Genomic DNA, 26,415 nt, shown 5'->3' on the forward strand with positions numbered 1-26,415 from the left:
GTTGTGACACTTTCTGCCACACCATAACACAGTCCTTTCTTCTCAATTTTCTAATAACAAGTTCTTTGCTGTCTTAAAACCTTCACTTATGGGCTCCTCAAGGCTCTCCAAGCTTCTTCCAGCCACCTGGCTCCAAAGCTAATGCCAATATGACTTAGATTTCTGTTACAGCAGTATCCGGTTTTCAGTATAGCTTCTGTTGTGGCTAACAATTGATACATAATAAATGTCTCATAACTTAGTAACTTAAAAATATTTGACTATCTCTCATGGTTCTGTCAGTTGAATGGCCTCAGTTGGGCAGAAGCTGCAAGGATGCTTATGACTTTGGACCCTAGAAATCCAAGTATTAATTCCTTCTCACTTGATTGCTCAACAAAGTCACTAAAACCAGCACAGGCCTGGAACAGTGGCTCACACCTGTAATCCCAACACTAGGAGGCCAAGGTGGGAGGATTGCTTGAGTCCAGGATTTCCAGACAAGCCTGGGCAACATAGGAAGACCCTGTCCCTACAAAAAATAAATTTAAACAAAATAGCCAAGCATAGTGACACACACCTATAGTCCTAGCTACTCTGGAGGCTGAGGCAGGAGGATCATTTGACCCCAGGAGTTTGAGGTTGGAGCAAGACTTTGTCAGGTAAAAAGAAAAACAAGCCCAGATTCAAAGGGAGAAACTAGGTCCCACCTCTTAAGGTAAGAAGCAGAACATACACACAGATAGAGAAGAGACTGATGACAACCATATTTGTAGACCATCTACCACAAAATTCCTTTATTATAAACACATTTTATAGCATAACAAATAGAGCATAGAAACTAACTGTGGAATTTTTAAAACCACTACAATCAAATCATATTTATTATATTGTTTTAATCTGTTTCCCCAAGCTCTGTTATTTCCCTTCCCTTGCTTACTCATTATTTTACAAATGCTATTATGTAATACTCCTAACCAGATTATTAGACAGTAGAAGGTAGAAATTTGTCTTGTAGTGTTTTATATCTCTGGCACCTAGTAACCCTCTGGATGTAGTCATTCTTCAAAATGTACTCAGTAATTACATGTTCAAGCAATAATTAAAATTTCCTAGTTTTATATATAATGTTGCAAAACATTTTCAGGTACATTAGATTATATACATATATATCATGATTGATATCCATAGCAATAACCTGCAGCTACCAATTCTTTTGCCAAATAGAGATGAAAAATCTAGTACTGGAGGATATTGCAGCAGCAATGGAACTTAGGCTTATCCTGAGCTCTATTACTGCTCATAGCTGTTTTCTTCCCCAATTTCTTCTAGTTGATTTCAACCCCTAAAGTTGGTTACATACATTGCTTTGTGACATGATACTCTAAACTTGTGTAAGCTATAAAGCACAATCAGAAAAAGAAGATGAGGATTCCTTTACACAGTCGTTTTTCAAAGAGTGACCACTGCCCATTTTCCTCAGCAATATAAAAGCAGGAGTTATCATAGGGAAATTGCTTCTTAGGGATCCCTTCCACAATAAAAAATGAATATTAAGTTTCTCCTTTAAATTTTTATGTATACATGACTGTATCCACACAGTCCCCCACTGGTGTTTTTAAAAGAGCAGCTCTATATGAGTCAATACAACAGGGACAGAAGAAGCCGTGCCATTTTCAAAGCTGAACTATCAAAGTAATTGCACAATTGCTTTTGCACCAACCTAATATTAGAGTTCACCATCACCTCTCTGCCCAGTTTCCTGTCACTAGATGATCAGCACTGACTGTTATATGCCTTATCAACAGCAGCTTCTGTACAGCACCATGGTATTCTTAACCTTTGCTAATTATTTTCTGCAAGATATTGTCCCATTTTCAATTTTTTCCATGTCAGCCGCAGCCAGGGCAGGGGTTGAAATGATTGAAAGGCTTCCTTGGAAGCAGAACGAAGTAAGCAAAGCTGTAACTAGATGATCTTCCTAGTAGAAAAGATAGCTCCTCACCAGAACAAAGATGGTTTTTCAATGAAAATACTTTTTCTGCCATTTTTTATGACTTATTAAACATATAGTGATAGAATTCTGGAAATTCATTCATTATCATTTACCCAATCACTTGTTGGTGCTAAAGATAACAAATGTCCCTTCTTCTAAGTTCCAGGTATTTCTACATTTCCTTAGGCCCCAAGTTTGTACGCTTCTCCTTGATGCTCTTCCCAATCTTAGAATGTATCTAGATAGATAGACAGGGAGATGATAGATAGACGATAGATAGATAGGTAGGTAGGTAGATAGATAGATAGATAGATAGATAGATAGATAGATAGATAGATAGATGATAGAGATACATACATATATACACACACTTGTGTGTACGTGTGTGTGTGTATGTGTGTGTGTGTGCATGTGTGTGTGTGTGCTTGAGAGAGACAGTGGGATATACACATATTTTTTTCTAGGACTTCAAGGGACCACAGCCTTCTATTTGTGATTTAATAATATTAAGCTGTACATAAGTAAAAAGGTCTTTGACCTTTAAGTAACAGAAAATCCAATTCAAACTGGCATAAACATCCTGAAAAAGCATTAGCTCACAGAACTGGAAGTCCCAAAGTTAGATGACTTGTTTTGCAAACTTAACACAAAGGCCCTGCCAACTTCTGTGTGTAGTCTTTATTGTCAAGCTGATAAAATGTCCTCAGCTGTTCCAGACCTCACATTCTGACAACATCCATGTAAAGGAAGATCATTTCTTCCTTTAATTCCTCCTTTAAAAGCAAATAAACTTCTTGAAAGCTCCAGCTACCTTTCTTATAAGACTCACTGGCTTGAATGGGGTTATGGGTCCATCCTAAATGCATCCCAAGGAATGCATTCAGGCAACCCAAGGAATGTCATGTGATAATTGGCTTGGCCCTGTATTCCTGAACCAATCATTGGAAACAGAAGATGAGATTATCCTAAGATCACTCAGATTCACCTATAAAGCTGGGCAAGGGTTGGCTTCTCCTCAGGCATGAGACCTGAAATCAAACCAACATTTTATGATGGAGAAGAAAGGAGAATAAAGTCAACATAAAAAACAAAGTCTACCAGAGCTTGGTTGGGCTAAAAACTGATTTGCAATGGATTTCATAAAAACATCCATTCAATCACAGAAACAGTGGACATATGTCTATTTTCTCATTAAAAATGGTTGGACCCCAGCCAAGTAGGTCTGTACTGGAGACAGTTTCAGACTTGATCAGGAAGATAGTTACTTGAAGCTTTAAATAAAGGGTGGATTGGGGGCAGGGAGGACAGAGGGGGGAAGGAAAGGGAGGAGCCCCAAAGGCAAGACCAAAGAAGTCAATATCCAGGGAAAAAAGAGACACAAGTTTTTTAATTAGATATATCCAGAAATGGAATGGCAGAGTGAAACATAGCTGGGAGTGAAAACAAACTATCCAGGACTACATCCCCTTATAGGACTGGGATGTCTTCCTACAGCTTGTTCCTTCTTGGTCCTTGCTCTTAATATATGTGAACTTCAGGGTAGGTCAGACAGTTTCGTGGTGAGCAACTCCTCCTATTCCTCCTCACCCTGTTCATTTCAGGACCCAGGGTAGAACACAGAGCACCAGGCTTCCTTGGGGTCCACAATGTGCCTAACTGAATTCAGCTCCAGATAATGAGACTCATTATACAATAATTAAAATTCACTACTGAGCAGCTCTTTGGCTAAGACATTAAAACGCAAATACATTAATGCCTTCATTCATACCAAGCCTTTACTAGATATCTGCCATATGTAAGATGCTCTGCTGGGCACTAGAGATCATGTGACAGTCATAGGAGTGTGCTTTTCAGCTCCTCCTTCAAGAGAGAACCTGGTGTGAGGACTGGAGTGAGTGGACAGTGTCTAACTACTGTGCTCTGTGATCCACTGTGGTGTTCATGCTGAGGACATGCTGTCATTGAGCTGCTCCCAACCAGTGACCAAGTACAGCAGGGGTACCATAGCCAAGCCATTCCCACCCAATGTGGGACTCCTCTAGCAGGTGATCTTTTCTCTGGAGCTTGCAATCAGCCTGGCTGAGACTTTCTCAAAGGCACCTTGTAGCATGAGAATCTTTCTACTCAATCTCCCTTCCTTTCCTCTCTCCCCTCACAGGAGTCAGACCTGCCTAACAGTCAGAGGCTCTCTCCAACAACTCTGGCTGCTTCTCTCCTTTATCCTTCACAGGTGTTTCTAACTCTACATTGGTGTCTATTTCCCAGAGGATCTGAACTGACACAGATCATAACAGGTGTTAAGATGTGCTCTTCAGGCCCTTAACATCTATAGATGTTAAATCTTAAGAGCTTGAAGAACCTTGATGTTATTTAGCTCAATCTCCTTATTTATTCAGCATCTTTTCTATAGCATTGTCAAAAATTTAAGCAGCAACTGTTTGAGCACTTCTGAAGACTGGAAGTTCCACAATCAGTAGGACAGTCCACTCTGTGCCTGCACAACTTAGCTTCTCCCTTTGTTAAACTGCCTCCTTGTTACTTCTCCCCACTGTGATTAGTTTTGTCCCCTAGGACCACTCATAATGGGCTTATGTTTTCTTCACATAGTGACATTGAAGGGCAGATGCCTACTTAACCTTCAGATGCAATATACCTGGTTCTTCCCACTGTTATCCATTTGATATGATTGGCAGAGTCATAATCATTATGCTTGTTCCTCTTTTGACACACCCAATTTCTCTATGCCTCTCTGATAGTGTATCACCCACAGCTGCAAATAATCATTGTTTGTGTATTCTGCAAAATCCACTTACTCTAAGCACCACAGGGGCAGATAGCAAATCCCTGCTCTTTATCACATAGTTAATTCACGATAGAAACTCAATGTATGTTTATTGAATGAAGGAGCTTATTGAGCAGTTTATTGAGCAGAAGTAATTGAAAAGGATACAACGCAGGTCCTTTTGGTTTAGTCAAGATGAACCCTCCACATTCTGTCTGAACGTAAACTGTCTTCATGGTAGCAAACCTTCTATCTCCTACTTGGCTGAAGGGTACAATAATCTGAAGAAATTCCTATCCTTCTAATCAAAGAGACAGAAAGAATGAAGGCAAGATGTTAGAATCATTGAGGGCAAGCGAGCCTGATTACTAGTAAATATACCTCAGAAAATATTCTGAAATCCTACCAGTTTTGAGAATCATTATTCCCTCTGAGTGTAGACTGAGTAGAATATGCAATTAAAGAGGAAAAATATTTGATCTTAACTTTTCTGGATGTTTTCAGGATATTTCATTTCTATTTCTTTCTGGGAAGACAATAATTAGAACATCATTTATCTTGTTCACCATGACACTTTTATATTGTTAAGAGTGAATTATATGGGGGGATTTTTATGCCATCTTTTGCACATGCACGATATACTTGTACAGTATTTTATAGTAAGCTACACCAGACAACATGACTAGGTATATGTTAAATGGAAGAGTAAATAGGGAATTTTTTTTTCTATGAGGTACAGGGTGAGCCTAAAGTTAGTTTAATTAACATTCTTTTTGTTCTTTTATTTTAGATTTAGGGGTATATATGCAGGTTCATTGTATAGGTAAGTTGAATGTCACAGGGGTTTAGTGTTCAGATTATTTTGCCACCTATGTAATAAGCATGGTACCAAATAGGTAGTTTTTTGATCCTCACCCTACTCCCTCTCTCTGCTCTCAAGTAGGCTCCAGTGTCTGTTGTTCTCCTTTGTGTCTATGAGTTCTCATGATTTAGCTCCCACTTATAAGTGAGAATATGTGGTATTTGGTTTTCTTTTCCAGTGTTAGTTTGCTTAGGATAATGCCTCCAGCTCCATCCATGTTGCTGCAAATAATATGATCTCATTCGTTTTTATGACTGTATAGTATTCCATGGTGCATATGTACCATATTTTCTTTATGCGCTCTACCATTGATGTGCATTTAGGTTGATTCCATGTCTTTGCTATTGTGAATAGTGCTGCGGTGAACCTAGGCACTCATGAGTCTTTATGGTAGAACAACTTATATGCCTTTAGGTACATACCCAATAACAGGACTGCTAGGTCGAATGGTAATTCTGCTTTGAGTTCTCTGAGAAATCACCAAACTCTTTTCCACAGTGGCTGAACTAATTTTTACATTCCCACCAGCAGTGTGTAAGCATTCACCTTTCTCTGCAACCTCTCCAGCGTCTGTTATTTTTTGACTTTTTAATAATAGCCATTCTGACTGGTGTGAGATGATATGTTATTGTGGTTTTGATTTGCATTTCTCTAATAATTAGTCATGTTGAGCATTTTTGCATATGCTTGTTGTCTGCATGTATGTCTTCATTTGAAAAGTGCCTGTTCATGTCCTTTACCCACTTTTGAATGGGGTTGTTTGTTTCTTGCTTGTTAGTTTGCTTAAGTTTCTTATAGATTCTGGATATTTAACCTTTGTCAGATGCATAGTTTGCAAATATTTTCTCCCATTCTGTTACTTGTCTGTTTACTCTATATTTACTCTGTTGAGTAAACAGACAAGCTACAGAATGGGAGAAAATATCTAGTTTCTTTTGCTCTGCAGAAACTTTTCAGTTTAATTAGTTCCCATTTATCAATTTTTGTTTTTGTTGCAATTGCTTTTCACATCTTTGTCATAAAATCTTTGCCAAGTCCTGTGTCCAGAATGGTATTTCCTAGGTTATCTTCCAGGGTTTCTATAGTTCTAGGTTTTACATGTAAGTCTTTCATTCATCTTGGGTTTATTTTTGTATATAGTATAAGGAAGGGGTCCAGTTTCAATCGTCTGCATATGGCTAGCCACTTATCCCAGCACTATTTATTGAATATGGAGTCCTTTACCCAATGCTTGTTTTTGTCAAATTAGTTGAAGATTATATGATTGTAGATGTGCGATCTGAGCTTTCTATTCTGTTCCATTGGTCTATGTATCTGTTTTTGTACCAGTACCTTGCTGTTTGGGTTACTGAAGCCCTGTAGCATTGTGTGAAGTTGAGTAATGTGATGCCTCCAGCTTTGTTGTTTTTGCTTAGGGTTGCCTTGGCTATGTGAGCTTTTATTTGGTTCTACATAAATTTTTAAGTATTTTTTTTCTAATTCTGTGAAGAATGTCGTTGGTAGTTTGGTAGCAATAGCATTGAATCAGTAAATTGCTTTGGGCAGTATGGCCATTTTAACAACATTGATTCTTCCCATCCATGAGCATGAAATGTTTTTCCATTTGTTTGTGTCATCTCTGATTTCTTTCATCAGTGTTTTGTAATTGTTGTTGTAGTGCTGTTTCACCTCTCTGGTTAGATGTATTCTTAGGTTTTTTATTCTTTATGTGGCAGTTGTAAATGATATTGTATTCTTGATTTGGTTCTAAGCTTGGATGTCATTGGTGTATAGGAATTCTACTGATTTTTGTACCTTGATTTTGTCTCATGAGACTTTGCTGAAGTTATTTATCAGAACAAGGAGCTTTTGGGCCAATACTATGGGGGTGTTCTATATATAGGATCATGTAATCTGCAAACAGATAGTTTGACTTCCCTCTTCCTATTTTGATGGCTTTTCTTTCTTCATTTTTCTTGATTGCTCTGTCTAGAACTTCCAGTAGTTGTTGAATAGAAGTGGTAAGAGAGAACATCCTTGTCTTGCTCTGGTTTTCAAGAGGAATACTTCCAGCTGTTTCCCATTCAGTACAATGTTGGCTGTGGGTTTGTCATAGATGGCTCTTATTATTTTAAGGTATGATCCTTCATTGCCTAGTTTGTTCAGGGTTTTTAATACGAAGGAATGTTGAATTTTATCGAAAGCCTTTTCTGCATCCATTAAGATGATCATATGGTTTTTGTTTTTAGTACTGTCTATGTGATGAATCACATTTGTTGATTTGCATATGTCGAACCAATCTTGCATCCTGGAGATAAAGCCTACTTTATCATGGTGGATTAGCATTTTGATAATGCTGCTGGATTCAGTTTGCTAGTATTTTGTTGAGAATTTTATTAGTATTATTATTATACTTTAAGTTTTAGGGTACATGTGCACAATGTGCAGGTTACTTACATATGTATACATGTGCCATGCTGGTGTGCTGCACCCATTAACTCGTCATTTAGCATTAGGTATATCTCCTAATGCTACCCCTCCCCCCTCCCCCCACCCCACAACAGTCCCCAGAGTGTGATGTTCCCCTTCCTGTGTCCATGTGTTCTCATTGTTCATTTGTGTCTATGTTCATCGAGGATATTGGCTTGAAGGTACATTTTTTGTTGTGTTTATGCCAAGTTTTTGGTATCAGGATGATACCAGTCTCATAGAATGAGTTAGGAGGGAGTCTTTCCTCCCCATTTTTTTTTTTTTTTTTTTTTGGAATAGTTTCAGTAGGAGTGGTATCAGCTCTTCTCTATACGTCTGGCAGAATTTAGCTGAATTCATCAGGTTCCAGGCTTTTTCTTTTTGGTAGGCTTTTTATTACTGATTCAATTTGGGAGCTCATTATTGGTCTGTTCGGGGATTCAATTTCTTCCTGGTTCAATCTTCAGAGGTTATGGTAACTCCAAAGTACCTTCTTACCTGCAAACAACCACACTAGGTCCCCAGCAATGGTTCTTAATCAGGCTGAAATGATTGAAATAAAAGAAATAGAATTCAGAATGTGAAAGGAAGGAATATAACTGAGATTCAGGAGACAGTTGAAACCCAATCTAAAGATTCTAAGAAATACAATAAAATTATACAGTAGATGAAAGGCAAAGAGGCCATTTTAAGAAAGAACCAAACTGATCAAACAGAGCTGAAAAACTTACTTCAAGAATTTCAAAATACAATCACAAGTGTCAACTGCAGAATCAACCAAGCTAAGGAAAGGGTCTCAGAGCTTAAAGACTGACTCTCCAAAATAACTTAATCTGACAAAAATTTAAAAAAAAAACAGTAATAAATGAACAAAGCCTCCGAGAAATATGGGATTATGTAAAGAGGCCAAATCTAATTAATATTCTGTATAATGCATTTTAGTACCTTCTTGGGGGCAAAAGCTAAACTTTCCAATGGCCATAGAAGACCAAAGGTATATATGAGGTAAACAACCCCAATAAAAATAAGACTGCAATTGCAATGATTCAGTGCAGGCCCTTTCCCCAAGTGGACAGCTACTCAGCCCAAATGGCTAAAAATACAAATTGTTGGAAAGTATTGAAAGAAGGAAACCTTTACTTTCTTATGCTGTATTTTGTTACAAATGAAAGTATACTCAGATAAACTTTTTGGTTTCTCTATCTATTTTTCCATCTCTTCAGTGTAACAGGAGCAATCAATGTGATTTCTGAGAGTCTAACCACCTTGACACTGGTGAGCAAAGTTTCTCTAACTCAAGTGCAAAGCAACTCCCAACCCCTGTCTTTGGTTCTGCATGACTCCTTAGATCTTTAGGAAGTCCAGAGGTGATAATACTTCCAGAATCCAGGTAGTAAAAGCACAGGACTATGGTGTCTATATCTGTGACACTCATGGGCCTGGTTTTCTGCAATTCAGTAAGGAAAAAGAATAGGATATCCTATACTATCATCCACATTCTTCAACAGAGCTTAACACAGTCATAAATTTGGAAGTATTTTGGCACTGCCTAGCCATTAATTAAAATAACACTTTGACCACTATTGCTGCAAGTCCTTTGTATGCATACTTTATTAGCTAGAAACTGGAGGGCGAGAGCTAAAGAGAACCCTGAATTACTTAGTTTAATTAATAAGTGAATTGACTCAATAAGTGACAATATTCATTCCCTAGCTCTTTTGTAAATAAAAAATTTAGAATAACATTTCCTAAACTGTGGCACAGAAAATACTATTAATAATTCCAAAAGACAGCAATATATGCTGTTTTTAAAAATAAAATCTATAGTCAAATATGTTTGGGAAATAAGAGTTAACAAAGTTAAGCAGGTTTGTTTTCTATAGCTTTTGATATCTAAAGCCCACTACAAATATCCAAGATAGAAGTGCAGTTTGTAATAGTTCCCCTAATTATTTGCTCATGAAACTTGTTTGTTTTAAGCAGAGAATATTGGAGAAAGAACCTCACAGAATTTTCCTTACTTTGGAAAATTCTGATTTAGAGTACTTCTAAATCAGAGCAAGCACCATTTCTTAAATAAAAAATAAAATAAAATAAAAACTCAGTAAGAACCTACTATATGCTTGGCATTGTGTGTGACATTGAAAAAATTGAAATAAGAGAAAGTATCTGCTTTCTAAGAGCTTATGTCCTGATGGAAAGGTAAGACCCAGAGAAGGCAAGACAGAAAACCAATCAAGGGTTTAATGCAACAGACCTGATATGAAAAGCAGCTCTGACTTAAGGCTGTAGGAGAAAAAGAGAAGTAGCATGGGAGAAATTCATGAGAATTGAAAGATGTTTCTGGAATGTATATTCCATGCAAGACAATGTGTTAGATACACAACATATTACATTTCATATAAAAGTTCAAAAAGAACCTTACCAGAATGTGAATATCCTTTAAACAGACTTCTCTTGAAGTGATTGCAGATTAAATTGGTAGGAGAAAGGAAAAGAATGAAATCAGAAATATTATGTTATGGGATAGTCACGGCTGATCCCAATGTTTGCAGCAAGAGTGGCATTGCTGTGAATTTTAGTTTTAGCTAAAATCCACAGCAATGAGGAGCTCATCATACCTCACAGATGAACATGATTCATACCATGGAAGTATTGAAAGATAAAGTTGTAAAGCCACAAAGAGGGAGCTTTACTGCCAACTTGGAAGCTAGGCAGAAGGGATATTTAATTGGGAGAGATTTTTTAGAAATAAAGATGAAAGCATTTTGAACCAAGAAGTATTTGAGACATCTACAAAAATAAATTATTTCCACATTATAAAAAGTGATTTTTGGAACTCCTAGCCAGAGAAATCAGGCAAGAAAGAGAAATAAAAAATATCCAAATAGGAAAAGAAGAAGTAAAACAATGTCTCTTCACTGATTATATAATTCTATACCTAGAAAACCCTTAAGACTCAACCAAAAGGCTCCTGGAACTGATAAATGACTTCAGTAAAGTTCCAGGATACAAAATTAGTGTCTAAAAATTAGCAGCATTTCTATACACCAATAATGTTCAAGCTGAGAGCTAAATCAAGAATACAATCCCATTTACAATAGCAACACACACCAAAAAAAAAAATACCTAGAAGTATATGAAAGCAAGGAGGTGAAAGATCTCTACAAGCAGAACTACAAAACATTGCAGAAAGAAATCATAGATGACACAAATAAACAGAAAAACATTCCATGACATTTTTGGATTGGAAGGATCAATATTGTTAACATGGCCATGCTACCCAAAGTGATTTACAGATTCAATGGTATTACTATAGATCTACCAATGTCATTTTTTGCAGAACTAGAAAAAAATTATCCTGAAATTCATATGGAACCATAAAAGAGCCCAAATAGCCAAATCAAGTCTAAGCAAAAAGCAAAGCTAGCAGTATCACATTACCCAACTTCAAACTACACTACAAGGCTACGGTAATCAAAACAACATGGTACAAAATCAGACACATAGATCAATGTAACAGAATAGAATAAAGAAACTAGAAATAAAGCCACACACCTACTGCCATCTGATCTTCAACAAAATAAGCAATAGAGAAAGGACTTCCTATTCAATAAATTCTGCTGGGATAACTGGACAGCCACATGCAGAAGAATGAAACTGGACCCCTTCTTTTCACCATAAACAAAAATAAGCTCAAGATGGATTAAATATTTAAATGTAAGACCTCAAACTACAAGAATCCTGGAAGAAATCCTAGGAAACAACGTTCTGGACATCAGCCTTGGAAAAGAATGTATGACTAAGTCCTCAATATCAATTGAGACAAAAACAAAAATTGCCAAAGGGGCCTAATTAAACTATGGAGCTTCTGCATAGGAAAAGAAATTATCAACAGAGTAAACAGACAACCTACAGAAGGGAGAAAATGTTCACAAACTATGCATTTGACAAAGGTCTAATATCCAGAATTCATAAGGATATAGCCATTCTCACACCAGTCAGAATGGCTACTACTGTAAAGACAAAAAACAACAGATGCTGGTGAAATTGAAGAGAAAAGGGAATGCTTAACCACTGATGATGGGAATGTAAATTAGTTCAGCCACTGTAGAAAGCAGTTTGGAGATTTCTCAAAAACCTTAGGACTACCATTCGACCCAGCAATCCCATTACTAAGTATATATCCAAAAGAAAATAAATCATCCTATCAAAAAGACACATGCATGCATATGTTTATTTCCACACTACTCACAATAGCAAAGACATGGAATCAACATAAATGCCCATCAATGACAGATTGGATAAAGAAAATGCAGTACACATACACCATGGAATACTATGCAGCTGTAAAAAGGAATGAAATCATGTCCTCTGCAGGAACATGGATGCAGCTGGGGACTGTTATCCTAGGCAAACAGAAAACCAAATACCAAATATTCTCACTTATAAGTGAAAACATGGGAGCTAAACATTTGATACTCGTGGACATAAAAACAATATATACTAGGGACTACTAGAGGAAGGATGGAGAGAGGCAAGGGTAGAAAAACTAACTATTGGGTACTATGCTCAGTACCTCAGTGACTGGATCATTCATACCCCAAACCTCAGCATCACACAATATAACAGGTAACAAATCTGCCCATATACCCTTGAATCTAAAATAAAAGTTGAAAAGTGTCTTTTAAAACAAAAATTATCCCATAGAAGTAGCAAAAACTGTAGAAGGCATTCATGGGCACAGGGCATTTCACTGAGACCTCTGCAGCCCTGAGAGTTGTACACCCAAGGCATTCACTGTGCATGGGTTTGTGCAGTAGCAATTCAGATGCAAATAATTAGGCAAGTACAAGTATATGGCAGAACTTAGATAAGGTAGAAATTTGGAAAGATTGAGCTTTTAAGTGACTACAGTTGAAGAGAAAGAAAACTCTGTAATTAACGTATCGTCAGCTCCAAAACAAAAGTCTTGCATAAATCTCATTATGGACACGAATGGAGCAACCTAAGAAATGGAGTTATAGATATAGACTAAGGAAATGAAAAGGAAGGGGACCCAAACTAGACGTATGACCAATGCTCCCAGCAAAGGGCTTCAGCCGAAAATAAATACAGTTGGCCCTCCATATCCAAGCTTCTGCAATGGCAGTTTCAACCAACCGTGGATTGAAAATGTTTGGGGAAAAAAATAATAGAACAATAAAAAGTAATACTAATTTTTAAAAACACAGTATAATGACTATTTACATAGTATTGTATTAGATATTATAAGTAATCTCCAGATGATTTAAAGTATATGGGAGGATGCACATAGGTTTTATGCAAATACTATGCCATTTTATATAAGGGACTTAAGTACCCATAAAATTTGGCATGGGGGGCATCCTGGAATCAATCCCCTGTGGATACTGTGGGATGACCATAAGGACTTCCACAGGCCCTTACATGGCTATCTTTACCATAGCTATCTTTCATTCAAGGGTTACAATAAGACACACATACAGCCTATTGAAAGTAAATTCAAGATTTTACAAGAGATGCACTTCAGACTGATCCAAACCAGATTTACACAGTTGATTGCAACTGCCAAGGACAATCATTCTATCGAAATGACTGTGCCCATTCTGGAAGCGCTTCAAGTTTGTCCATCTTTCCTCTTCCCCAGTAAATGTTTTTATGTGGAGTGCTTAATTTTTCTTCTTTATTTTTCAGGCTACAAACCCCATCTTTGGTAAATTAACACATGACAATTTTCCAACATTGGTATTTCTTTATAGGGTCTATGCAGGAAGAGAAGCAGAATGAATTGATCTCCCTTCTTCTTACAGCCTTGTCTCATGGTTCTGATCCAAATTCGTTCCTCCCTTCCACAACTCCTTTTGCAATAAGTGTATATATACCACAAATTGTTACTCCTTTGTATGTGGTAAATCAGATTGTTCTTCTCCACTGCTCAAAACCTTCCCATGACTTCCTTCTCATGCTAAATAAAAACAAGACGAAAAACTATCTGAACTCCCTACAATAGCATTATAGACCCATAGGAATGACCTCTCTGACCTCAGTCTTCCCTGGCCTGCCCTGGCTTCCTCCACTCCAATCTCCCTGGCCTCCTCACCCTCCCTTCAGCCAGCTCGCTACCCTTAGCCTTTATACTTAATATTTCCTGCCTGGCACACTCTGCCTCATCTCCCAGATAGTTTTAAGCTCATTCTCACCTCATTTGGGCTCCTGTCAAAAGTCATCTTATCAGAGAGCCCTTCCTTGACTGCTCTATGTGAATAACATGCTATTTGAATCCCATCTTTACCACTTGATATAATGTATATTTATTTGTGTGTTTATTGTGTCTCTCTGCCCAGGGATCACAGTGTTTATGTATAATGCCATGACTGTTCAATTAAATGGGTTGTATTAATAGATTGAAAGGTCTCTAATTATTTCTTCTCTGTATATCTTACCTGACTCACTTATGCGATCCCCCTAAGACACACGCAAAGCAACCTGCCTGCGCCTTTCGTCTACCCCCACATGGGGACAGGCCACTGGAAGTTAGTCTGCCCCAGGCATTATTCAAAAATCCCATCAGAAGGCTCCTGTCCAGACCCTCTCTCTTATCCCAGACAGCAAAGTGCCTCATGCTGGCTGATCCCCTTGCCCAAGGACTCCCCTCATCTTACCTATGTTTGCATGAGTAATATACCTTTGAAATGCTTGAGGTTACTGACTCTGGTGTGGTGTGTACTGACATGCAATACCTGAAATGGGATGGAAGGGCAGCCCTGACGAGAGGCCAGGTGAGTCTGTAACACCTGCCACTATCACAGGGCACCTCCAGGTAGAGAGAGACAGAAGACTCCACCCTCATCACCCTGATTCAAAGTGCTTCTCTTGGAAACTTCCTGAATCTGAACTCAATCTGGCTTTCAACCCTCTCAACTGCTAACCTTATTACTCATCCTACTATTTTCCTCTTAGTGTCTCCCTGGGATGCCATGTTAGGGCTTATTGACTCCTCTCAGGGAAGGTCTCAGTTTCAGTCTGATTCTACTGCCAATGACCACATGTCAGTGGAGGTGACAAGTAAACTGACACCCAAGACTTGTCTCCAAATCTTGGGTGTCAATTTACCCAACACCCCAGGAACAGCTCTTTGCTCTGAAGGGAACTCTGCCATGGGGAGACAATGATAATCTATGGTTCCATAAACAATAAATATTTTCATCTTTAAAGCATGTTTAGTCATTTTCAGTTAATCTTGTTATTGTTTTCATATCGTTTTCAACTAAAGAACTCCTTCAGATATTTCAGGACTCACAAAATCAAATACCTGTAGGAGCCAGACAGGTATCCTCAATGTGAGAAGTGGCTGGATATAACACAACAGATTGTTGATACTGCCACTGTGCAGTGCAGAGCTTGTCTAGGGTCTTTCTAATTCAATCATATTTAACCTTTTCTGTGCTGGTCAAACAAAAGAGGATTCAGCTCATGGGCTACTAGATTAGAACCCCTGAGACAGAGTTAATGAAAGGTATTAGAATCAGATGGGACAAATGAACCATTTGGACCAAGGTAGTGTTTTTCAACTGTGTCCACACATAATCACCCAGACACTTTAAAAAGAGCTGATACCAGGATCCTGTCCCTAGAGATGCTGATAGAATTACTCAGGGTTACCCAGGGCATCAGATACTTTGAAAGATTTCTGAATGATTCTAATGTATAGCCAAGTAAGCACTACTTCTTTCAGGAGTCCATTTTAATACAACTGACTATGCTTCTGGTAACACAGGTAAAGTCTGTCCACCCAATCCTTCTTTCCAAAGTAGTCAATATTTTATTTAATAACAGATATCACAAACTTAGAAGAAAAGTCAGTTGCTTATAAAAGAAACATAAACAGTAAATATTTAGGGAACTAGAGATTTCAGAGAAATACAGGGCATTATTAAAGTTGGAACATAACAGCCAATTCCTAACCCAAAGTTTTCCCAACAGAACCTTAGTAGAACAAAATGCTTTAAGCACGTAGTGTACACCCTCATTGCATGTCAAAAAGAACTGGTATTATTTCAGGAAGAACAACTCATCTCTAAGGGCTTGAGCAACATTTCTGGAATATCTTAAGATTAAAAGAAACCATGTTTTCTTTGGAAGACTTGAGGGCATACATACCAGGAGGTTCATTTCATTTCAAACCCATGGATTTACCCACAGATGTTGTAAGCATCAACCCCCTTACCACCTTGTGGTGAGAGTGATGAAACTGAAATCCTGCCACATAAGGAAACTGTGCATCTTTACTAGAGTCATTGGATGGGATACTGGATGAAGTCAGTTTTGAATGGGTTCACTTCTTTTTTGTTTACCCATGAACCACATTCTTTGAAAAAAAAAAATGTCGTTTGTAGAAATGTCATCCATAAATAGTCGGGACTTTACATTTTTGAAAATTGCTACATGGAGATTCCTGGATGCCTTAACTGTGGATTGCAGTGCCTTCTCAAGCAAGCTAACCTCATCTAGAAGCATGGAGTTCATAAAGCTTGATGAGCCTGCAGCTCTCCTTGGAAAGAAATGCAGTCTAAGAGAGAGAACGGTATCTTGTGTTGCTTCTAATGATGGGAATCACCACCCTGCCTGTATTCACACAGTGCAATGATCATTAAAACTCTTGTTTCAAATAAAATGAAACAGAATGTCCCATTGTGCTCTGTGAGAAGTTCTCAAAATAAGGAATGTACAGTAAAATACATTGAAGAGAGGTGTGCAACGTATCTCCCTTGCATAGATTCACGAAGCTCATTAGTAGAGTAAAGCCTCAGGGTGGTGGGGGAGGGGAAACAGATTTCAAAAAAAGAATATCAGAATTCTTTTTTCTTTTTTCTAAAACATTTCATCAAGCATTATTCCATGGAATGAACATTTAGGGGTGTACTTTTTTAAAAAAAATTTGTGTTTAGTGCAGAACACTGTGCTCCACAGCAGAAAGCCAAGGATCTGGTCCCTTATTTGGCATGAGCACCTGTGTGACTGTGAGGAAACCACTTAAATTCTCTGTTTTCAGTTTGCAAAACTATAAAAGGAAGAATTTTGGCTCAAAATTCTAACCTGGAGCTTGGAAATTTCTGGATTCCAAATAATTTATCTACCACTCAATATTAATTCAGATCCACAATCCCTTATTCACAATTTCAAAATATGAAAAGCCTCTGGAAATTGAAAGGTTTTTGTAATTACTTAGTGACTAAATCTGGCCTGAATTTATGTAAGCCTATTTATATCTTCTTTTTTTTTTTCTCACTTACCACGATCATTCATCTATTGGGTTGCAAACTGCCAAAGTGTTTGATTATGGGGTGCCCCTGACCCTGCTGTAGCTGTTATGTAAAATAGTATTTGCTTCATATTACTTTTCTAAAATCTGAAAAATTCTGAATTCAAAAACATATCTGTCCCTTAGGGTTTCAGATAAGAGACCATGGATCTATTGGAATACTCTGATCATCCTTATGTATCAGGCATTGTTCTAAATGCTTGAAAAATATTAACTCATCATTCTCCATTACTATATGAAGTAGAAACTATTATTCCTATTTCCGTATATGAACACTGAGACACAAAACAGATAAGTAAGTTGCTTAGCGTAACACAGATAGTGATGGAGGCAGTTTTCTAATACAGGCAGTCTGTCCTACAGCCTGGCTTTTGACCACTGTGTTGGTACTTCCGAATTTATGAGTCTTATGTAAATGCCTTTGGTTTCCTCATGTGTAATATGGTATTAACAACCACCTTTCAGGGAAAACTTACAGCCAACTCTCAATGGCCTTTGCAAAGGAGAATCCACTTTGAACATTCGGTAACTTTGCTATAGTATTTTATCAGTTATGTACAGGAGTGCAAGGGGTGACACAGCTGTCTGAAAGAAGATCCTACGTGAAGCTGGTTACTCCTTTTCATCTAAAGCATTCCCACTCTCCTGTGTAATTTAGACACCAACATTAAAATAGTGTTACGCCCAAAGGCACATTACAAATTACCTAAAAGCACATTGCAACATGCCATTTAAAATTTAAATGAAACACTATAATCTCCAATCAAAGTAGTTTAATATTAGGAATTGTGAAGTTTGGGAGCTGATGCATAATGAAGGAATTGAGGGTCCTTTTACCAGCAGCTGTTCTAGCAAGGCACCCCATGATAAACACCTAAAAATCAGGCATATGAGCTGCCTGCTCAAACTGGGGTAACAGCTGGACAAGCCACCAGGGAAATGGAAAGGCAATAAACCAAATAAGCTTGATTTATTTTTATATCTCCCCAGGGCTCTGTATATTTTAGGGTTCATATTTTGCCTTCCAGGTGCATTTGGCTAACATCTTTGAGTCTAATCTTCGAATCCACTCTGGTCTTACCTTCTTCCTTATTTCCATGCTACCTTTACCTCCAGTCTGTTTAGCATTACCCTCCTGACCTTACGCTGATTGTCTTCGATTAAGCCTAAGGATTTCCTCTTCCTGGACCAAAGTCAGGTTACAGAGCAGGAATAATAAAAGACTGAATGGAACCGTAGTGTCATAGCCAGAACCCCAATGTCAACCTTTTGAAAACAACCTGACTGCAGATACCCCATCCCACTGGGAGATTCAACACAGCGGCATTGCAATCCACCAGTTTCAGAGAATTGGCATCTGTGCCAAGGAATGTTTTTTCTAGGAATCTGGTTTCTCATTAAAAGAATTGGGCGGAGGGAACCAAGAAGAAAAAAATGCTAAGTTAAATCAAAATATGATATGAGTTCTTAAAAAAATCAACTCTGATTAATCATACTACAAGGTGATTTAATATGTTTGGAAGAAATTCAGAGCAAGTGAATTCACCAGCACTTTCAACAAATATGTACTCTAAAAAATAATTAATGCACAGCACATAAGTTAGGAATGTTTAAGAGGCTCCATGATATTCACCTTAATAGGTATAAAATGCACATGTGTACAGAATAAAAGAAATAATTGTAATGAGAGTCACTTATTGTCATTGAAAGTAGAATCTTATCTATATTTTAATACAAAAACAAGCATGGTAAAACATCTGTGCTTTACCAAAGGCAATGAAAGGCTAAGAAGGCAATATTTTAAACAATGCACATTTGGATTTTTTGTATAACACTCTCAACTATCTCATCAGTAAAAATCCTCAGAACATGCCTGGGAAATAGGTAAACAATACAGAATAGTTTCTACTGCAAAATTAAATCCTATCCTTGTAATCATAACTCTCTCCCCTCCCCCACCTCCATAATCAAATAGCCATGGAAAGCCTGAGGATGAGGAGTTGAGAGCAGGAAGGAATGATGGCAGAACAGCAGCAACCTTTAGACCAGTAAATAAGTATGGGTGACTTTCGCTCATCAACATCTTATTTTTTTTTTTTTTTTTGAGACAAAGTCTTGCTCTGTCGCCCAGGCTGGAGTGCAATGGCGCAATCCCGGCTCACTGCAACCTCCACCTTCTGGGTTCAAGTGATTCTCCTGCCTCAGCCTCCCTAGTAGCTGAGATTACAGGTGCACACCACCACACGTGGCTAACTTTTATGTTTTTAGTAGAGACAGGGTTTCACCATAATGGCCAGACTGGTCTCAAACTCCTGATCTCAGGAGATCCGACTGCTTCAGCTTCCCAAAGTGCTGGGAATACAGGCATGAGCCACTACATCTGACCTGCTTATGAACATTTTATATGCAGATCTTTCCCCATTCTTTCATTCATTCCAACACATTAGGCCACCTACCACCTTCATGCCCTTACCCTTTGCTGCTCATCTCAGCATCATCCCAGTCCTAACACCACATATGTAAATAAACTGAAAATGTAACCAATTTCTTTGTTGCCAAATAAGTATATATTTAGCTTCAGCTATGACTTATTCTGCCCATCCTGTACAGTTCCTGTGATAAACCAGGCCTTCCCAAGCAATATGGCCCTAGACTGCAGTACCTCGCCACTACTAATGGTGTCAACACACTCATCTGTGGCATTCCTGCAGGTTGTGTCTGTTTGACTGCTTTGTGCCTACTTACCCGATGCATTGGCCTTCCCTGCTTTGGCCCTACTTTGTCAACCCTCTTTCTTAACTGCTGGACAGGCAGCCTGATTTTGAACGTATTATACTGACTTGGACCCTGGCACCTTTTCAGTAGACAACTTCCAATCTGCGCCTTTACAGGATGAGAGGCAGTCTATCCCCATGCCAGTCCTGCCCTGTGCACTACTATCAAGCAGGCTTTTCCTCACCAAGGCACTGTCCAACAAAGGAAAGAGATTGGGTACAAATGTTGAATCTTACGGCTATAAGAAATACTCTTTGCAATGGACTGAACTTTTCAGTTTCCGATAAAGCTGCTTGGTATCATATAGTTCATACCTAACCACTAGTCTAGAGTCAGGAAAACATATCTTTACCAATCCATTTGCCCTTACTTCTGTGGTAGGAATTCTGTATTTGCATTTGTATCCTCTTCCACTTTCTCCTGGCTTCTAGCCCACACATTCAGATGGTTTAATTGCAATATTGGTAGAGTTTGTTTAAATTTTACTCAAGAGTTGAAACATGTGCACTTGTCTAACTTCACGTGAAAGCAGAAATATGAACAAATATTAAAATTGATTTGCAGCCTAACAGAGCCAACCTGTCTCAATAAGTAGATTATTTTAAAACTTTCCAATGTTCAGTTTAAAAGACCCTTGTATTTTGAAGCCTTTTTAATCTTTCCATTTTGAATTCTTTCTTCATCTTTTTGTTTACCTCAAAGAGTCCAGGAGGTCAATTCATTTGGATGGATGGATAATGAAATTAATAGACAATTGCTAAAAACAAACTCTCAGGTACCTCTGCACAATTTCTTCATTATCACTAGGGTAACATGAAAACATGTACAGTGTACTCTATAATGTACAGCTTTGCCTTGTCAGGATAACTATACACCTTTACTCCACCATCTAGATGGTATAGTGTGAGCTTCCATAGTTAAAGGGTGGATGCCTAGCCACCTTGGGGGCAAGTCATAATTACCTGCCTCACCACTTCCATTCCCTCAATCACAGTTCACTGGTCAATGGGTGGACACCAATCCCAAGTTAGACCAATAATCTCAAGTCTTTTCTTGAGATTTCAACTGGAAGTGAAGGATTATTCCTTCTTTGTGGTGGTAACTCCAAGATGAAAATCTTAAAATCTATGAGGTGGAGGAAGATGATGAGAAAGAAAAACCACATGCAGAAAACAGCAGAGATGAGAGAAACAGTGTACCAATAGTGCTGAAGACCCCGGTTTCTGTTTTTCTCAAAGCAGATGTTCCCAGAGTCCTACTGATCCCACACTCTGGTTTTGAACACTACTTTGATGCTGTGAACCTATGACTTCTTCACTTTGTCCTAAGCAAGCCTACATTTGGCTTTGACTACTTATGCCCAGACAAAAACTTACTATATAGTTTATTGATTAGATACTGCTATATAACAAACCATTTCAAAACTCATTATTCATAAACTGGAAGGGTCTTCTGCTCTCAGTCGAGCATTTCAGGACATGTTGAGGCAATGGTTTTTTAACCCCAAAACTGAGAAATGGGTGAAACAGTAATAGACAGTAAAAGCTCAGTCTCCTAGAATGCACAAAAGTAAAAGTAAGGCCCCCACACTCACTGTCACAATATCTGACGGGATTAAGGCAGTGATGTCTGGAACCAGTTCACACCAGCTCAACAAGAGCCAATGGTTAAATTTTTAGAAATTTGTAAGACAACTGTTAAATACAAGTATCTATAGGGCTGAAATATAGGGCAATGAACATTTCAATGCAGATGTTGATGGGATAACTACCTCTAATGCATGCTGCTTAATTTTTAAAAAATAACTTATTTTTGAACAAAGGTAATAAATACTCAAAACTCATTGTTTTCTAATTATTTTATAAGCTCTTACTATCATCTATGCTATTGAAGTTATTCATGTCTATATTATCCCTATGGTGGGTATACTATATAATCAGTAATTATATCAATTACATTCACAGCTTAAAACGGGCTATGGTGGGAGTATTTATGCCCTAGAAATCATAAAATGCTAGGAATCAGGGTTTGTTTGTTTGTTTTCGGAGAGCTGGATTGTAAACATTTACCATCCCATCGCTGGAATAAGCCATTTCAGATTAAGAATGGCACAGCATAAGGCCGAGGCAGGCAGATCACGAGGTCAGGAGATTGAGACCATCCTGGCTAACACAGTGAAACCCCGTCTCTACTAAAAATACAAAAATTAGCCGGGCATGGTGGCACGCGCCTGTAGTCCCAGCTACTCGGGAGGCTGAGGCAGGAGAATGGTGTGAACCCAGGGGGGCGGAGCCTGCAGTGAGCAGAGATCGCGCCACTGCACTCCAGCCTGGGCGACAGCGAGACTCCGTCTCAAAAAAAAAAAAAAAAAAAAAAAAGAATGGCTCAGGATAAACTTTTTCTAGTAAACAAAATGTGTCAGGGAAAATAGACATCTTCACAATTAAGTGAAGACAGGAGAAATGAAGAAATCTAAGAAGTATGTCTGTAAGATAACTATAACCTCCCTTGACACATGAAACTGACCAAAATTAAACAGATAAAAAGCTACAATTTGGGGAAAATTACACTGTCTAAAGAACCACCAGCCTGGATTAAACATCAATGTACTATTTGAGACTTAAAACCAACATTGGATTCCCCAGTTATCTACATGTAGATAGTGAGCTACAATCTCCGTCAGCTCCTAAGTAAGGCATATTCGCCACTGCCCTCTTCAAGCATTGTGGCCAGAGAGAATAAAGGAGAGTAAACTCCCAAAGGGTGGACCTAAAGTTCACAGTGAACAACTGAGTAGGGAGATATACCCTCCCAGCAGACTTATCAAGGAAGATTCCTCACTCAAGATAGGAGACCTTGGTAATGCCTACCCAATGGAATTTCAAAATTGCTTCAGAAGACTGACTACTGTGTGTCTCCCATTCTTACGCTCTGTGAATGCAAGTGTTGGTAATGATAAAGTCCCTTTTCTACCTTTCATATTAATTGTGTGGCATAGGGAATTGGTGAGAAGAACACAGCAAATAGCCTTCTTAGTCCATAGGTCTCTGGATCAAGAGAAGCAACATTCAAACCCGATATAGAAGCCGCTGCTTACCACCTCCTAATGCAGAAATCATCTTACATCATCAGATATCCTGTTTTTAAGCTGGATGATAAAAATGGATTGAATTTGTGAACAGATTCCTTCGAGGAGGCGATAAGTATGTTCAGCGTATAGTAAAACAGTGTGAACAGGATATTGTGTGACCAGAAGTGTAAATGGTGGTAGCCACTATTACTGTCTACCAAATATTTCCACCTCTTCTCTCATGCATTTGGTGTGGCTACATTTCCCCAAATCACTAAAGATGGGTGTGGACCAAATAACATGCAAGAGAAACATGAACACCAGTAGCATGGGTACATTTAAGAGCAGTGAGAAATTTATTTCTTCTTTTTTCCCTCTGCCGCAATGACCAGCAATGTTCCAAACAGTGGCTACTTTCTATCAGCATGGGTCCTAGAGAAGAGAATATGGAGAACAGCTCCCAGCCAACCCAGAAAACTGTGTCGTATGAGCAAGAAATAAGCCCTGTGGTTTTAAGCCACAGATATTTTGATATAATCTAGTCCATCCTGACTAGCACAACCACAATTCCATATTTTCTGGCAAAGCATCCCCAGAAGTAGATAAAGCTGTGTTATAGTTGATTACTGAAATATATGCCAAGGTATATTGCACACCAAGAAATGCAACTGAAGGGAGGAAAAAGTTGACAAGTCCAACAAAAATAATTTAAAGACATTTCAAAGCAATGAAGTGCTGGTGTGACCGAGTTATGCATCATTCAGGACTGCCATTACATTGTCAAATATCAATTTGTCTAAAGTTCACTATGACTCTGAAGAAAAACTGCTTAACTTCTGAGGTCAACATGAGATTCAACTGAAAAAAATTACAAATAGGAATGTAGCAACATCAAAACTGAAGAGTGCATCAGCAGTTCGAAAGATAAAGAGGATAGTAGTGGTAAGAAAAAAAAAAAGAATTCTGAGTTTTAATGATTAAAGACATTTGAGTGTGGAATATGAAGAAGTTCCTTCTTATGTAATAAAAAGTGAATGTAATACAATTCATAAATCTAAATACGTCAAAAAGAGCTCTTTTAACAAGTATGACTCAAAATTCAAAATGTCAGGAAAATATCACTCACATTTCCATTTGTAAGATCGTTTCTTCATCCTTAGTGATACATAAAATAATAATGTCTTAAAATCAATGTTATCTTAGCATTAATAAAGTAATAGAAATGTAATAATAATCACTAATAATGATTACAGGATACAGCTGAATGGTAACATCATAATTTATATTCAAATGAGCCATTTACTACAAGAGAGTAAAACAATTAGACTTTCAATACGTTTTTCTTAATGAGAGAGAACAAGGCCCACCCAACAATAAAATACCTTTTCCCATATGACTGTGGTTCAAAAATATGTATACACACACACATACACATGTACATAATAGAATTCTTTTTTGGTTATTTTGTAAGTGAAGAAAGAAGAAAAATGTTTTGCTATAGAGATACTTCCTTGAAAGTTCCAAAGGAATGACATATTGGATGGATAAATATGGCACCTTGACTTTCCCAAAAACTAAACAGAGGCATACATAGAAAATAAATGACTGTAATTCTTCCCATGGAAATTTTTAAGTAAATGTGATGAAATGCCTATGAAAGAAAACAGACTGTGAGGAAATACCTATGACAAAGCATCACATGTATAGTAGGTAAAAGGCCCTTATAGATAATCCAGAATGTCCTGCATGAGCAGACACACAGTGTCTATATTTTTTCATGGGACATTTACTTTGAGAAGTGGCCCCAAGCTCTGGCAGTCCAATACATTGCATTCTCAATCTGCCATGAAAAGTGTGAGCTGATTTAGTTGTTCAGAAACAGGATGCCCAATTAGTTTTCAAAGACACATGCATCAAATCACAGTCACCGTAGAATTTTTTCTTACCACTGCAAGTTTCTCTGATTCCCTTCTCTGAAATTTTGAGTCCTTAAAGTTGTGCCTGGTCCTTTAGCACTTAATCGCATACTCTCTTGTGCTGGTCACAATCCTTGATTATTTTCTGCCATCCTCCAATCATATTATAAGTTCTTGAATGTTAAAAATACGGCTTATACTTTTGAAAACCTGGTAATAAGAGTAATAATAATAATAGCTAGCACTTATGAAATGTTTACTTTGTGAGATTCACAAGGCTAAGTGCTTTACATGTGTTCTCTTTATAATTTCCACAATAATCTGGTGACTTAGTCATGCAGCTAAGTTAGAGACTCCAACCTATGTCCCACCTCATTATACTGCCACCCATGCAGCTCCCTTGAGTGCATATTAGATCTTCATTAGGGCTATGAACATTCTGATTCAGACATTGATTAGCATGAATGTCTATCGAATAACCTTCCCTGACATATACTACTTATCTAATCCTCCACTCTGGACACTGGTCACCTGGTTTAGATAGCTCTTTTCCAATATTGGAGGTGTCTTTTAACTCAGAATTGCATAATCTTAGCAATTAAACCCACACATTTCAAATGGACTCAACTGTCATTACAGAGCTAGAATTATATCAAATATACAGTATACAGGTATATTTGACTACACTGCAGAATGTAAATACAATTAGAATGAGAAAGACAAACAGAAAGAGATTGATATTGAGATTAAGAAAACCCTGGGAAGCTGGGTGATAAAACAGAATTAAAACCTGAATTTACAGACCCAAAGAGTTAAACAGTTAGTGAGTGTGTGTGTGTGTGTGTGAGAGAGAGAGAGAGAGCATATGTGTGTGTGTACTCATTATGATGATTCAAGTGCAAACTTCCAATATATTCCTACTCTTTACAAGGAATTTATGAAAATCTGAGCTAGATGAGGCCCATGATTCATCAGCATCAGAATCATCCCAAGTTGCTTATTAAACTTCAGATTCCCAAGCATCATCCAGTCTTGAGTTGGAGAGTGAGATCTGGAGACTTAACTTGGATCCCTTAATAGCAGACGCTGAGACCAGAATGGGTAAGAGAAAATGAGGCAAGGATATAAAGGTACCAACACTGAATATGTTAATGAGCAGGTCACTACTTCACACACCTGGGGCTGAATCTCTGTGTGGGCCTGGGAGATGGCAGAGAACAGTCGTTCTCAAATGTTTTGGTTTT

The 26,415-nt window shown here is 38.0% G+C and overlaps 1 long non-coding RNA gene across 1 annotated transcript in view; it reads right to left on the reverse strand.

Annotated features, from left to right (window-relative positions):
* Positions 1-26,415, reverse strand: part of SMILR (smooth muscle induced lncRNA, enhancer of proliferation) — a 154,318-nt gene that overhangs the window by 3,602 nt on the left and 124,301 nt on the right. The gene's annotated exons all lie outside the window — the stretch shown is intronic.

The sequence above is a fragment of the Homo sapiens genome, chromosome 8 (assembly GCF_000001405.40).
Source record: "Homo sapiens chromosome 8, GRCh38.p14 Primary Assembly".
In the NCBI taxonomy this organism is placed as follows: Eukaryota; Metazoa; Chordata; class Mammalia; order Primates; family Hominidae; genus Homo; species Homo sapiens.